The sequence below is a fragment of the Homo sapiens genome, chromosome 10 (genome assembly GCF_000001405.40).
Source record: "Homo sapiens chromosome 10, GRCh38.p14 Primary Assembly".
NCBI classification, from domain to species: domain Eukaryota; kingdom Metazoa; phylum Chordata; class Mammalia; order Primates; family Hominidae; genus Homo; species Homo sapiens.
In genome coordinates, this window is record NC_000010.11 from 76,142,021 (window position 1) to 76,158,007 (window position 15,987).

Below are 15,987 nucleotides of genomic sequence, written 5' to 3' on the forward strand. Positions count from 1 at the left end.
GTTTTGGGAGAAGCCCTTATCTCAACTTTTCACCTTGTCTCTATCCATAGCTTCTCTGTGGTCCTAGGCTGCAAGAAATTTTCTACCTCAAGGTCAATACTGGAAGACATCTTTTTCTGCTTTAAGATTTGGCTATCCCCTAATGTAGATGATTTTTTTCTTTCAATGGATTTCAGGTGCATGGAATTGAATTAATCATAATTCTTGGTTTATGACACACTATCAATTGGTTTATGTGTAACATTTATAATTATATGTGTGCATTTACATAGTCTTAAAAATGCAATGAATGAACCAACCCAAGAATTAGAATATAGATAATAACTTATGTTTTTCTGTGTGGTCCTCTTCAGTGTAATCATTATCTTGAATTTTGTGTGTAATATGCCATTTCATTTTTAAAATATTTAACTACAAATACATTTATGTACCTAAATAATATATTGCTTAGTTTGGGGCTGTTTAAAACTTTGGTAAAAACAAAGCTTGTCACGCTTGATTTTTTTTTCTGGGATTTACTTTTTTCACTCAACATTGTGTTACTAAACTTCATCTGTGTTGATGCTATAGCAGCTGTTTCTGCATTTTCAATGCTGTATAATATTCCATCATATTCAAGTGCAACAGTTTATTCTCCAGAAGATGGTCATTATGTTATTATCTTTATTATTATTATTATTATTATTATACTTTAAGTTTTAGGGTACATGTGCACAATGTGCAGGTTTGTTACATATGTATACATGTGCCATGTTGGTGTGCTGCACCCATTAACTCGTCATTTAGCATTAGGTATATCTCCTAATGCTATCCTTCCCCCCTCCCCCTACCCAACAACAGTCCCCAGTGTGTGATGTTCCCCTTCCTGTGTCCATGTGTTCTCATTGTTCAATTCCCACCTATGAGTGAGAACATGCGGTGTTTGGTTTTTTGTCCTTGCGATAGTTTACTGAGAATGATGGTTTCCAGTTTCATCCATGTCCCTACAAAGGACATGAACGCATCATTTTTTATGGCTGCATAGTATTCCATGGTGTATATGTGCCACATTTTCTTAATCCAGTCTATCGTTATTGGACATTTAGGTTGGTTCCAAGTCTTTGCTATTGTGAATAGTGCCACTGTAAACATACGTGTGCATGTGTCTTTATAGCAGCATGATTTATTATCCTTTGGGTATATACCTAGTAATAGGATGGCTGGGTCAAATGGCATTTCTAGTTCTAGATCCCTGAGAAATCGCCACACTGACTTCCACAAGGGTTGAACTAGTTTACAGTCCCACCAACAGTGTAAAAGTGTTCCTATTTCTCCACATTCTCTCCAGCACCTGTTGTTTCCTGACTTTTTAATGATTGCCATTCTAACTGGTGTGAGATGATATCTCATTGTGGTTTTGATTTGCATTTCTCTGATGGCCAGTGATGATGAGCATTTTTTCATGTGTTTTTTGGCTGCATAAATGTCTTCTTTTGAGAAGTGTCTGTTCATATCCTTTGCCCACTTTTTGATGGGGTTGTTTGTTTTTTTCTTGTAAATTTGTTTGAGTTCATTGTAGATTCTGGATATTAGCCCTTTGTCAGATGAGTAGGTTGCAAAAATTTTCTCCCATTCTGTAGGTTGCCTGTTCACTCTGATGGTAGTTTGTTTTGCTGTGCAGAAGCTGTTGAGTTTAATTAGATCCCATTTGTCAATTTTGGCTTTTGTTGCCATTGCTTTTGGGGTTTTAAACATGAAGTCCTTGCCCATGCCTATGTCCTGAATGGTATTGCCTAGGTTTTCTTCTAGAGTTTTTATGGTTTTAGGTCTAACATTTAAGTCTTTAATCCATCTTGAATTAATTTTTGTATAAGTTGTAAGGAAGGGATCCAGTTTCAGCTTCTACATATGGCTAGCCAGTTTTCCCAGCACCATTTATTAAATAGGGAATCCTTTCCCCATTGCTTGTTTTTGTCAGGTTTGTTAAAGATCAGATAGTTGTAGACATGCGGCATTATTTCTGAGGGCTGTGTTCTGTTCTATTGGTCTATATCTCTGTTTTGGTACCAGTACCATGCTGTTTTGGTTACTGTAGCCTTGTAGTATAGTTTGAAGTTAGGTAGTGTGATGCCTCCAGCTTTGTTCTTTTGGCTTAGGATTGACTTGGCGATGCGGGCTCTTTTTTGGTTCCATATGAACTTTAAAGTAGTTTTTTCCAATTCTGTGAAGAAAGCCATTGGTAGCTTGATGGAGATGGCATTGAATCTATAAATTACCTTGGGCAGTATGGCCATTTTCATGATATTGATTTTTCCTATCCATGAGCTTGGAATGTTCTTCCATTTGTTTGTATCCTCTTTTATTTCCTTGAGCAGTGGTTTGTAGTTCTCCTTGAAGAGGTCCTTCACATCCCTTGTAAGTTGGATTCCTAGGTATTTTATTCTCTTTGAAACAATTGTGAATGGGAGTTCACTCATGATTTGGCTCTCTGTTTGTCTGTTATTGGTGTATAAGAATGCTTGTGATTTTTGTACATTGATTTTGTATCCTGAGACTTTGCTGAAGTTGTTTATCAGCTTGAGGAGATTTTGGGCTGAGACAGTGGGGTTTTCTAGATACACAATCATGTCATCTGCAAAGAGGGACAATTTGACTTCCTCTTTTCCTAATTGAATACCCTTTATTTCCTTCTCCTGCCTGATTGCCCTGGCCAGAACTTCCAACACTATGTTGAATAGGAGTGGTGAGAGAGGGCATCCCTGTCTTGTGCCTGTTTTCAAAGGGAATGCTTCCAGTTTTTGCCCATTCAGTATGATATTGGCTGTGGGTTTGTCATAGATAGCTCTTATTATTTTGAGATACGTCCCATCAATACCTAATTTATTGAGAGTTTTTAGCATGAAGTGTTGTTGAATTTTGTCAAAGGCCTCTTCTGCATCTATTGAGATAATCCTGTGGTTTTTGTCTTTGGTTCTGTTTATATGCTGGATTACATTTATTGATTTGCATATGTTGAACCAGCCTTGCATCCAGGGATGAAGCCCAGTTGATCATGGAGGATAAGCTTTTTGATGTGCTGCTGGATTCGGTTTGCCAGTATTTTATTGAGAATTTTTGCATCAATGTTCGTCAAGGATATTGGTCTAAAATTCTCTTTTTTGGTTGTCTCTGCCAGACTTTGGTATCAGGATGAGGCTGGCCTCATAAAATGAGTTAGGGAGGATTCCCTCTTTTTCTATTGATTGGAATAGTTTCAGAAGGAATGGTACCAGCTCCTCTTTTCACCTCTGGTAGAATTTGGCTGTGAATCCATCTGGTCCTGGACTTTTTTTGGTTGGTAAGCTATTGATTATTGCCTCAATTTCAGAGCCTGTTTTTGGTCTATTAAGAGATTCAACTTCTTTCTGGTTTAGTCTTGGGAGGGTGTATGTGTCAAGGAATTTATCTATTTCTTCTAGATTTTCTAGTTTATTTGCGTAGAGGTGTTTATAGTATTCTCTGATAGTAGTTTGTATTTCTGTGGGATCGGTGGTGATATCCCCTTTGTCATTTTTTATTGCGTCTATTTGATTCTTCTCTCTTTTCTTCTTTAGTAGTCTTGCTAACAGTCTATCAGTTTTGTTGATCTTTTCGAAAAACCAGCTCCTGGATTCATTAATTTTTTGAAGGTATTTTTGTGTCTCTATTTCCTTCAGTTCTGCTCTGATCTTAGTTATTTCTTGCCTTCTGCTAGCTTTTGAATGTGTTTGGTCTTGCTTTTCTAGTTCTTTTAATTGTGATGTTAGGGTGTCACTTTTAGATCTTTCCTGGTTTCTCTTGTGGGCATTTAGTGCTATAAATTTCCCTCTACACACTGCTTTGAATGTGTCCCAGAGATTCTGGTATGTTGTGTCTTTGTTCTCATTGGTTTCAAAGAACATCTTTATTTCTGCCTTCATTTTGTTATGTACCCAGTAGTCATTCAGGAGCAGGTTGTTCAGTTTCCATGTAGTTGAGCGGTTTTGAGTGAGTTTCTTAATCCTGAGTTCTAGTTTGATTGCACTGTGGTCTGAGAGACAGTTTGTTATAATTTCTGTTCTTTTACATTTGCTGAGGAGTGCTTTACTTCCAACTATGTGGTCAATTTTGGAGTAGGTGTGGTGTGGTGCTGAAAAGAATGTATATTCCGTTGATTTGGGGTGGAGAGTTCTGTAGATTTCTATTAGGTCCACTTGGTGCAGAGCTGAGATCAATTCCTGGGTATCCTTGTTGACTTTCTGTCTCGTTGATCTGTCTAATGTTGACAGTGGGGTGTTAAAGTCTCCCATTATTAATGTGTGGGAGTCTAAGTCTCTTTGTAGGTCACTCAGGACTTGCTATATGAATCTGGGTGCTCCTGTATTGGGTGCATATATATTTAGGATAGTTAGCTCTTCTTGTTGAATTGATCCCTTTACCATTATGTAATGGCCTTCTTTGTCTCTTTTTATCTTTGTTGGTTTAAAGTCTGTTTTATCAGAGACTAGGATTGCAACCACTGCCTTTTTTTGTTTTCCATTTGCTTGGTAGATCTTCCTCCATCCCTTTATTTTGAGCCTATATGTCTCTGCACGTGAGATGGGTTTCCTGAATGCAGCACACCGATGGGTCTTGACTATCCAATTTGCCAGTCTGTGTCTTTTAATTGGAGCTTTTAGCCCATTTACATTTAAAGTTAATATTGTTATGTGTGAATTTGATCCTGTCATTATGATGTTAGCTGGTTATTTTGCTTGTTAGTTGATGCAGTTTCTTCCTAGCCTTGATAGTCTTTACAATTTGGCATGTTTTTGCAGTGGCTGGTACCGGTCGTTCCTTTCCATGTTTAGTGCTTCCTTCAGGAGCTCATTTAGGGCAGGCCTGCTGGTGACAAAATCTCTCAGCATTTGCTTGTCTGTAAAGTATTTTATTTCTCCTTCACTTATGAAGCTTAGTTTGGCAGGATATGAAATTCTGGGTTGAAAATTCTTTTCTTAAGAATGTTGAATATTGGTCCCCACTCTCTTCTGGCTTGCAGAGTTTCTGCTGAGAGATCCGCTGTTAGTCTGATGGGCTTCCCTTTGTGGGTAACCCGACCTTTCTCTCTGGCTGCCCTTAACGTTTTTTCCTTCATTTCAACTTTGGTGAATCTGACAATTATGTGTCTTGGAGTTGCTCCTCTTGAGGAGTATCTTTGTGGCGTTCTCTGTATTTCCTGAATCTGAATGTTGGCCTGCCTTGCTAGATTGGGGAAGTTCTCCTGGATAATATCCTGCAGAGTGTTTTCCAACTTGGTTCCATTCTCCCCGTCACTTTCAGGTACACCAATCAGACGTAGATTTGGTCTTTTCACATAGTCCCATATTTCTTGGAGGCTTTGTTCATTTCTTTTTATTCTTTTTTCTCTAAACTTCTCTTCTCGCTTCATTTCATTCATTTCATCTTCCATCACTGATACCCTTTCTTCCAGTTGATGGCATCGGCTACTGAGGCTTCTGCATTCGTCACGTAGCTCTCGTGCCTTGGTTTTCAGCTCCATCAGGTCCTTTAAGGACTTCTCTGCATTGGTTATTCTAGTTATCCATTCGTCTAATTTTTTTTCAAAACTTTTAACTTCTTTGCTATTGGTTCGAATTTCCTCCTGTAGCTCAGAGTAGTTTGATCGTCTGAAGCCTTCTTCTCTCAACTCGTCAAAGTCATTCTCCATCCAGCTTTGTTCCGTTGCTGGTGAGGAGCTGCGTTCCTTCGGAGGAGGAGAGGCACTCTGCTTTTTAGAGTTTCCAGTTTTTCTGGTCTGTTTTTTTCCCATCTTTGTGGTTTTATCTACCTTTGGTCTTTGATGATGGTGACGTACAGATGCACTTTTTGTGTGGATGTCCTTTCTGTTTGTTAGTTTTCCTTCTAACAGACTGGACCCTCAGCTGCAGGTCTGTTGGAGTTTGCTAGAGGTCCACTCTAGACCCTGTTTGCCTGGGTATCACCAGTGGTGGCTGCAGAACAGCGGATATTGGTGAACTGCAAATGCTGCTGCCTGGTTGTTCCTCTGGAAGTTTTGTCTCAGAGGAGTACCCGGCCGTGTGAGGTGTCAGTCTGCCCCTACTGGGGGGTGCCTCCCCGTTAGGCTACTCGGAAGTCAGGGACCCACTTGAGGAGGCAGTCTGTCTGTTCTCAGATCTCAAGCTGCGTGCTGGGAGAACCACTACTCTCTTCAAAGCTGTCAGAGAGGGACATTTAAGTCTGCAGAGGTTACTGCTATCTTTTTGTTTGTCTGTGCCCTGCCCCCAGAGGTGGAGCCTACAGAGGCAGGCAGGCCTCCTTGAGCTGTGGTGAGCTCCACCCAGTTCTAGCTTCCCGGCTGCTTTGTTTACCTAATCAAACAACTAACTGGGCAATGGCGGGAACCCCTCCCCCAACCTCGCTGCCGCCTTGCAGTTTGATCTCAGACTGCTGTGCTAGCAATGAGCGACACACGGTGGGCATAGGACCCTCCGAGCCATGTGTGGGATATAATCTCCTGGTGTGCCATTTTTTAAGCCCATTGGAAAAGCACAGTATTAGGGTGGGAGTGACCCGATTTTCTAGGTGCCATCTGTCACCCCTTTCTTTGACTAGGAAAGGGAATTCCCTGACCCCTTGCACTTCCTGGGTGAGGCGATGCCTTCCCCTGCTACTGCTCGTGCACAGTGCGCTGCACCCACTGTCCTGCACCTACTCTCTGGCACTCCCCAGTGAGATGAACCCGGTACCTCAGTTGGAAATGCAGAAATCACCCATCTTCTGTGTTGCTCACGCTCGGAGCTGTAGATCGGAGGTGTTCCTTTTCGGCCATCTTGGCTCCTCCGTTATTATCTTTACTGTTGCTTATTTTGAACAGGCCTACAAGCATCTCCTGGTGCACATGACCTAGAGTTTCTCTTGGAATAGAGTCGCTGAGTCTTTAGTTATGCATACTTTTAACTTTACTAGAAAATACCAATCTGTTTTCCAAACAGTTGTTCTAGTTTAACATTCCCACCAGCAAAATAGTAGAGTTTCTGTGTATATACATTTTCTCCAGCACTTCTTATTGTCCAATTTATTATTTTTGAGGACAATTAAGTGGGTGTAAAGTGGTATCCCCTAGAATTTTGGTTTGAATGTTCATCTTCCCTTAGGTGATTTTTCCAGAACTGGAATTCTGTATCTCCTTTGCACTAACAAAGCAGTAGATTACTGTAAAGCTATAAAACACAAATTAAATAATATGATCATCTGTAATGCAGCAGTCAAGGAGTGATTAGGATGTGCTGTGAGGACGGAAGAGAAGTCATTCTTACAGTGCAGTAGAAAAAGCCTTGGTCTTGAATCAGGAGAGTCAGTGCCTGGTCCTAGCTCTGTAAGTGATTGGCTGAGTGACTCACATGAAAACCTCATTTTTCAGTGTTTCCATTTCCTCATCTGTTATTTAAGGGTGTTGATCACAGAGAGTATGCTCTGGTCTACATTTTTGTCATTTAGTAAATCATAATCATCACATTCTTTTGGGTGTTTCTTTAAAGCATTTGGCCTCCATTTTCTCAGGTGATATTTCCAATACCTAAGTAATGTAGGCAGAGAAAAGATGAAATAAAAGCCTACAAATTTTGGCAGGGGTCTCCGTAGTGTGACTGTGGGGAGACCAGGAAGCTCCTCAAGCCCATAAATATCTCTGTTCTGGCCTCCCTTAGAGCCTAAAACTCCACAATTACTGTTTCACTGCTATAGTTCTTGAATGCCTTTGGGTCTGTTGGAGTCTTCCATTAAAATGCAAATGTCCCTGGAGGGGGTGGGGAGAGCCTTTAAGCTCATTATCACCTAAATCTTCCACAGGGATTAATTGATCAGATCCTTCCCCATCAGACACCTGGTTGGAAACAGAGCCTGTGGGAATGGGCACCTGGTTGATGAGGGGAAGCCCTGGGAGGGAGAAGAAAGGTTATAAAGAGAGAGGTGGACCAACCAGGGCTCCCTAGGGTTTGGCCATTTGCTGCTTCCCACAGGCTCATCTCTAGCCAGAAGCTCAAAATCCAGCTGGTCAAACACACTGGGCTACTGCTGTCTCCTTGGGGGGAAGTTTCCTCTTAGAACTAACTAAAGGCTGCCAACCAGCGGCAAACCCTCCTGTGTCTGCAAATGGCTGCCAAAAGCCCCTCCGCGCTACACACTTCTGTGGCAGATGCCTCTGAGCAGCCTTCTTTATGAGTCAGTGCTAAAGCCTAGCCCAGGTTCTAATGTGGCCACTCTGAGGCGTGGACAGGCCTTGTCAAAGGCTGGGCATGCGTGTGGGTGCCTCATCTGCTTTGTTTGACATCCAAACAACTCTTTTAAAATGTGGCTCTAGCCCCACCTCACAAAGGGGGCCTGAAGGGTGTTGTGGAATGTGCTTGGACCTGCTCTGTTTTCTTTCGGTCACCCACACAAAAATGTGCCTTCCCCTCCCCTGCCAGGAAACTCCCTCAGCAATGCATGGTTTTGCCTCCGCTGACCCTGGCCCCTTAACATGTCAGAATGTTAATAAAACACTACGGCTGTCATAACGCAAGGTTAAATGAAGTCTTCACAACCTGTCCATTAAGCGGATGTTTGTGTGTGTGGCTTTCTGCAGCTTCTCTCTGGATACAGCCTGTCTCAGTTTGTGGGCAGTCGATCGAGCCTTGGGCCTTTGTCTTTGTTCACTGTTGTGTTTAAATCCCCCCCATTCATTAATCATCCCTTTGCCTATTTATACCGGTGGCAAGGATAGCGAACACACTTAACGTCTGCTTTTGTTTTGGTGGCACCCTTTGTGAGGACCAAGGCAGAGCTAATTATTAACTGCGAAAAGACGTTAAAACTTTTAGATAAGCGCCAAATGCTGCATCCACTGAGACGCAGTTTTGTTTAAACCTTCGAGAGCTTGCGGCCAAGCAACTGGGGTGGCTTTATTTAGCTTTGAGTCCAGGGGAGTGATGCCAGTGCTCAGATAATTAATAGAGGCTCTCCATTAAGACCCAGCCGGGCAGCAGAATCCAAGCGCCCTGTATGCACCTCTGAACACCCAGCTGGGTCATCCAGACCTGAGCAGGCACAGGCAGGGGTGGCAGCTTCAGACGTAGGGCTCAAGGGGGCTCCTCCAACCTATATGTTTACATTTCCTGTGTACATTTCCTGTGAAGATCTTCGTTGTCAGCTTTTGGTGACTTTTACACCCTCCAGTAGGATCCTGATTTTCCTTTGCTGTTGGACATTTTGTGGAGCCAACTATTTTAGGTACAGCTATATCAGCTTATTAAACAGTTATGCGGCTTGCTACTGTTCTTCTGAAAGAGGTCTCCCCGACCACGTTTTCTAAAGCAGTTGCCTAAGCCCACAGCCATCCCTCAGTTACCTCTATTCCATTACCCAGTTTTTTTTTCCCCTCCAAGGCATCTGTCGCTATTTGAAATAATCGTATTTGTTTGTATTTCTTGTCTGTTTGATACTAGAATGTAAACCTCTTGTATCCTTTGCACTTAGCTCTTGATCGTCGCCTGGCACATATCAGGGGCCAAACAGATATTTATTTTATGTGTGGGGGAGGAAAAAAATATATTTCCCTCTACCCATTCTAGGCTCATTGGCCAGGGCCCTGTAAATTAGATTGCCAAAAGATAGGTTAACAAGAGAAAAGTATTTTTTGTTGTTGTTGTAAATTTTATTTTTGAATTGCATTTTTTCCTGCTGATACATGAAAAAGCAATTTTTTGTTTTCATATTATACACAACATCCTAACTTAACTTTTGTTTATTTACTAGTTTGCATTTCTTAAGTAGACAGTCATATTATCTACAAGCAAAAGATTTGTTTCTTCCTTTCCAATCCTTATAGTTTTTATTGCTTTTTCTTATCTTATTACACTATATAGGACCTCCAGTGTAATGTAGGATAAAGTAGTAATGGAATTATATCCCAAAAGTTTTCTTAAAAATAAAGAAAGCCCACATTACTAGTTTACCCACATAATAAAATTTCTTAGAACCACATAATAAAATTTCTTAGAACATAAAATTCTTCGTTTTTAAGTATCCAATTCATTGGTTTTTAGCATATCCACAAGGTTGTGCAACTGTCACCACTATTCAATCAAAAACATTTCCGTCATTCCAAAGAGACACCCCTTAACCATTTATACTTACTCCCAATCTGCCTCTTCCTTCAGCCCCTGATAACCTTAATCAACTTTCTGTCTCTATAGATTTGCCTATTCTTGGCATTTTATACAAATGTAGTCATACAACATGTAGCCTTTCATGTCTGGCTTCTTTCATTTGGCATAGTGTTTTCAAGGATGATTCTTATTGTATCATAAATCAGAACTTCCTTTCCTTTTTATGGGTAAATAATATTCCATTGTATAGATATACCATATTTTATCTATCCATTAATCAGTTGATGGACATTTTGGTTATTTCTACATTTTGGCTATGATGAATAATGAATAATGCTGCTATTAATATTTTTTGTATACGTTTTTGTGTGAATATGTTTTTCAGTATCTTGATTATATACTTAGGAGTGGAATTTCTGGGTCATATGGTAACTCTATGTTTAATTTTTTGGGGAACCACCCAGCTGTTTTCCATAGGTAGTGCCATTTTACACATTTCCACTAGCAATACATGAGAGTTTCAATTTCTCTACATCTTCACCACTACTTGTTATTTTTTCTTACAGTGATCCTGTGGGTGTGAAACAGTATCTCTTTTGGCTTTCATTTGTACTACTCTAAAGACTAATGAAGTTGAGCATCTTTTCATGTGCTCTTTGATTATTTGTATATCTTCTTTAAAAAACTGTCTATTCACATTTTTTGGCTTTTTTTTTTGAGACAGAGTATCACTCTGTAGTCCAGGCTGGTGTGCAGTGGCGTGATCTCGGCTCACTGCAACCTCCACCTCCTGGATTCAAGCAATTCTTCTGCCTCAGCCTCCCAAGTAGCTGGGATTATAGGCATCCGCCACCACGTCCAGCTAATTTTTGTATTTTTAGTAGAGACGGGGTTTCACCATGTTGGTCATGCTGGTCTCGAACTCCTGACCTCGTGATCTGCCCACCTCGGCCTCCCAAAGTGCTGGGATTACAGGCATGAGCCACCACGCCTGGCCTTTTTTGGCTATTTTTAAATTGAGTTATTTGTCTTTATATTGTTGAGTTACAAGAGTTCTTTATATATTCTGGATACTAAACCTTTATCAGATAAATGGTTTCTAAATATTTTCACCCATTCTATAGGTTGTATTTTTGGTTTCTTGGTAGTATTTCTGATAAACAAAATTTTTAATTTTGATGAAATTCAATGTATTTATTGTTTTCTTTGATGGCTTGTACTTTTGGTGTTACATCTAAGAAACTATTGACTAATCCAAGGTCATGAAGATACACACCTGTGTGCTCCTCTAAGAATTTTGTATCTTTGGCTTATTCATTTAGGTCTTTTATTAAGTTTGGATTTTGTATATGGTGTGAGGTAGGGTGGGTCCAAATGTAGTCTTTTGCATGTGGATATCCAGTTCTCCCAGTATTATATGTTGAAGAGACTGGAGAGTGGGCATTCTTGTCAGGTTCTTGATTTTAAAAGGAATGTATGCTGTTAGATTTTTTAAATGTAATATTTATCAGATAAAAGTATTCTATATAATTATGATAATCTAAGAGTTTAAATCACATACTAGCCTCTTCACTGGAATGTGAGAACCAATGTCATTCCCTTCATTAGGGGTGCAGTCCTGGGATATAACCTTGGCAATAGAAATTTAGTGCTTCCTGTACCTAGAACAGTCACGAAACAAGATAAAGAGAAGGTACCTATTGCTAGTCCTGTTCAGCAGAGTGACTATTCCTGAGACTTGGCTAGCTCATAGATCTTAACTTTTGTGCCTGCTTCAAATGTTGGCAGTGGCCATATGGACTGTTGTGTTTAGAAGTCTTAGGTTGCTCTGATATCACAGCGATTGATTAATGATATCTGAAACCTGCATGAAAAGAGATAGGCAATATAGATATGACACATTTGCCATTCTTGTATTGGTCCCTCTTTCTCTGTCAGATCTGTCGTACTTGACCCTTTTTACATTAAATTGCTCTGTGGATAGAACCCCTTTTCTTTCTTGATCATTGGATTTGGCCATTTTTCTCTTGTTCAGCTTAATGCTTAGTTCTGACTCCTTCTGATGGATACATCCTGTTTAATACTTATGTATCAGAGAACAAAGTCACAAGCTTTGCTAAGGTAGACACATGTGTTTGACAGTCCTGGCCCCAGGTATTCTGTTTTGTTGTCAGATTACGTGTCAGAAGAATATATCCCCATAAGGAGTGAGAAAATGAGATAAAAAATACAATATTCAGAATGACAATTAGAGCATCTAGACCAAACAATATCATAGGCAACCTCTATGTCTTTTTGAAAAATACAATATAAAAGATGACTTGCAGTGAAGGAGGTAGTCCTCTTTCATGAGACATGTAGGGAATAAGGTTGAATGATCAACTAATGTCCCAAAGTCTCACATGCCATATGGAATCAGTATCATGTTGATGGTTTGGAGAATTTCCTAGGAATGCAGTCTGTGGTACCAATATTGCCCTTTCCGAAGGCTTAGGGGTCTGCCTTTATGATCAAGGCTTTTATCTGCATTACAGTTCCTGGCACTTGAAAGCTTCTGATATATTGGATTATTTGGGATTAACATTCAGCATCAAATAGTATAGAACTTCATACCTCTCTCATGGCATGGTCCGGACATTAGCAAGGCGGGACTTGTGCAGTGGCTCCATTGTGGCAGGGAGTCAGCTCATTCTAGCTCATTCATGTACCATGTTTATAGTCCCTGTGGCAAAGAAGACTCATCTCCCCATTGTTGTATCACATTAAGCAAAAATGCAAAAAGAAGGAGAAAGCATGCTCATTCTTCTTAAGGACATTGCCTGGATGTTGTATAAGTCATTTCGGCTCTCATTCCCTTTTGCCAGAACTTAAGTTACATGACCACACCTCTTTGCATGTTCCCATCAAAAAAAACCTAGCAGTGTATTTCCTAGAGAAGAATGAGACAATAGATTTTGGAGAACAACCAGCAGTCTCTGCTGAATAACAATATTTTGTTAAATAAATGAGAAAAGCTAAATCAAAATAAAACAGTGTAGAAATATATTACCCTTAAGATCACCAGATCCAAGCCTTTAATGATCTTAATGGAAAAGAACACAGATCTAGTATTCCAGACATCCATGAACTTTTATTTCAAGGATGTGTTGCTATGGGGCACCCTTCATTTGCTGGCAGTAACCTGAAACCTGGGATGAAATGAACATACCTGAAATCTCTGTCACTCTTCTCCCTAAAGGTCATCAGAGGAGTTGCTTCTACAACCTAAGAGGAAGGATCATTAATTTCTTAATCTGTCTAAGGGTAGATCGTCACTTACCTGGAAGCTGTTTTATAAAGGGAATATGTTAGAATGGTAGACAATATTAGCATTTTTCAATATATGATTTTCATTTCCTTTCTGAGCTGAGATATGAAATGCCCCTGTGCAACTTCCTATTTAACTTACATCCCAGCTGAGGTCATCTTAGAGGGTACCTTGTATTTTGGGATGGTGGAATCACAACATCCATCTAGTAACTAGCTTACTAGACAGCTGCCCTAGAGAGTCATTCACATCCACGTTGATATTGTTTAAGCGCCTAAACTTTTGCTGTATTAGGGTGATAAGATTTAGGGATTTCTGGTTCCTGCATATGACGCAGTCTATCCTGACTATCACATTTTGCAAGTACTTATCAGCCTCCAGGTGTAAACAGAGTCATTGATTATGGAGTCCTGGAATTGACTAGAAATAGGAAAAGTATTTACTCTCAAATATCTTAAAATGTGGCTAACTCATCCAATTATAGCAACTCAAGGTCTAATTGTAAGCCAAGTCTTACAGAATTGTGTTCTTAAAACAAAAGAGTGATTAGTGTTGGATATGGTTCATCTGGGAAGACTTCCTTTAACAGGAAAAAAAAATCACTTTCTCCATCTGTGCTGGAAGAAAGTAACTCAAACACAGTCAGGAACAGAGAATGTATGCAATGTAAATGGCTAAACCTGACAGCCTCTGGCTAATTGGAAGTGTCGGTGTTATTGTGCTTAGGTTAATGGGGCTCTTTAGTTTACCATCTGAGCTGCTTCTCCCAAGGAATCACAGCAACCAGCAGTCTCCAAGGGCTCAAAAACCCTGGAGGACTTCTCTTTGGTCCCTGGGAGCTGCACCCTGGGCACTTACAGCAAGCTCACAGGTGATGAGAACTCATAGTTCAGCATTTTGCTTCTCTTCTATGAAAAAAACCGACTGTTTTCTTCATAAATTAGACCCAGCCAAAGATCTTGATTCTTCCATTATTCTTTCCAAACAGTGTCATAAAAGAGAAGAACAAGAGGGTGGACTAGGGACCTCTGACTTCTGACCCTTCCTCCTTAAGCAGCCTGATATACTCTGCAGGCTGCCCTTCTGATGGCCACAGATGACAGGAAGAGTTGCTGAAAAAAAAAATATGGGCTTAACCAACATTCACAGACCAACTCCATGCCTGGCAGTCCCTGAGCCACATCTTTGACTTATGATATTAGAGGAGTATTATGGGCCATTGGTTTAGATTCTTTATGATAGCATTGACATGTCATAGAATGTCAGCTGGGGACTTAAGGCTCATGATAGCTCAAGATGACATACCATTAGGCTTAGACTAGGCAACAAGTGGCTATTGGAATGATGGGACATTTATAGGAGAGCAGGTAAGATCAGATTTCTTCCAAGATACATTCTTTCTCCTGTAGAGGCTTTTGTCATTTCACTTATCCCACTGAATTACTTTCCCTGTTGTGTTAGGTATGCCTCAGGGGCAGAGAACGTAATACATTTCACTTTTAGGTTCTTGGTGCCTGGAGGAGTGTGTAATGCATAGTTGCTGCTCAGTTAATAATGTTTGTATTGAATGGAAATAACCAAGAGTCTTTGGTCTAGAGAGGAGGAGAATGAAGTGTCATGATCAAGATCTGTTAAATCCTACATGGGGAAGACTAGGTTGAAAGGGGAGTTAGTTGCTAAGTCCTAAATACAGAGTTGGGAGACTCCCTTTTGAAAATGGATCAAGGTAAATTTAGGACCAATACAAAGATGATCCAGTTTCCACGTCAGGAAATAAGCTTCTAGATCTCATTTTCCAAAAGATGATAGTGGAAAGAAGCAAATGAATTTTTGCCATAGTATATTTCAAATTGAAGAATGGCACAGCTTTTAATAGCTTAGAACTGGGTGCAGTGGCTCACACCTGCAATCTGAGCTACTTGGGAGTCTGAGTCAGGAAGATCACTTGAGGCTAGGAGTTTCAGACCAGCTGAGCAACATAGCCAGACCCTGTTGCCAAAAAAGTTTTTTAAAAAATTAGCCAGGTGTGATAGCATGCACCTATAGTCTCAGCTACTCAGAGGGCTGAGGCAGGAAGATTGCTTGAGCCCAGGAGTTCAAGGCTGCAATGAGCTATGAGTGTGCCACTGCACTGCAGCCTGGGTGACAGAGTGAAATACTGTCTCTTAAAAACAAAAAAAAAGACCCTAAATGAAGGCTTAATGTAGACCTCCGAGATGGACAGCCTGAGCCTCCAATGACTCATTTTTTAGCATTAGTGACAATAAAAAAAATTATGTGTATGTGTGTATAGGCATGTGTCACTTAGCAATGGGGATACATTCTGAGAAATGATAGATGAAATTAGGTGATTTTGTCATTGTGTGAACATCATAGTATATGCTTAATACAAACCTAGATGGTATAGCATGCAATACACCTAGGCCATATGGTATAGCCTATTGCTCCTGAGCTGCAAACCTGTACAGCATGTTCCTGTACAGAATACTGTAGGCAGTTGTAACACAATGGTAAGTATTTGTGTATCTAAACAAAAAAAAAGTTACAGTAAAATACGAT

General features: G+C 40.3%; 1 protein-coding gene across 3 annotated transcripts in view, besides 1 other annotated feature; it reads left to right on the forward strand.

Annotated features, from left to right (window-relative positions):
• LRMDA (leucine rich melanocyte differentiation associated) overlaps positions 1-15,987 on the forward strand; it is a 1,128,545-nt gene that overhangs the window by 710,397 nt on the left and 402,161 nt on the right. The window lies entirely within an intron of this gene.
• Positions 7,522-8,430: an enhancer, noted in NCBI's record as "OCT4-NANOG-H3K27ac-H3K4me1 hESC enhancer chr10:77909300-77910208 (GRCh37/hg19 assembly coordinates)". NCBI's record gives its function as "activates a minimal SCP1, AML or CMV promoter by ChIP-STARR-seq in primed H9 embryonic stem cells {active_cell/tissue: H9 hESC(primed)}" and the evidence as "EXISTENCE:reporter gene assay evidence [ECO:0000049][PMID:30033119]".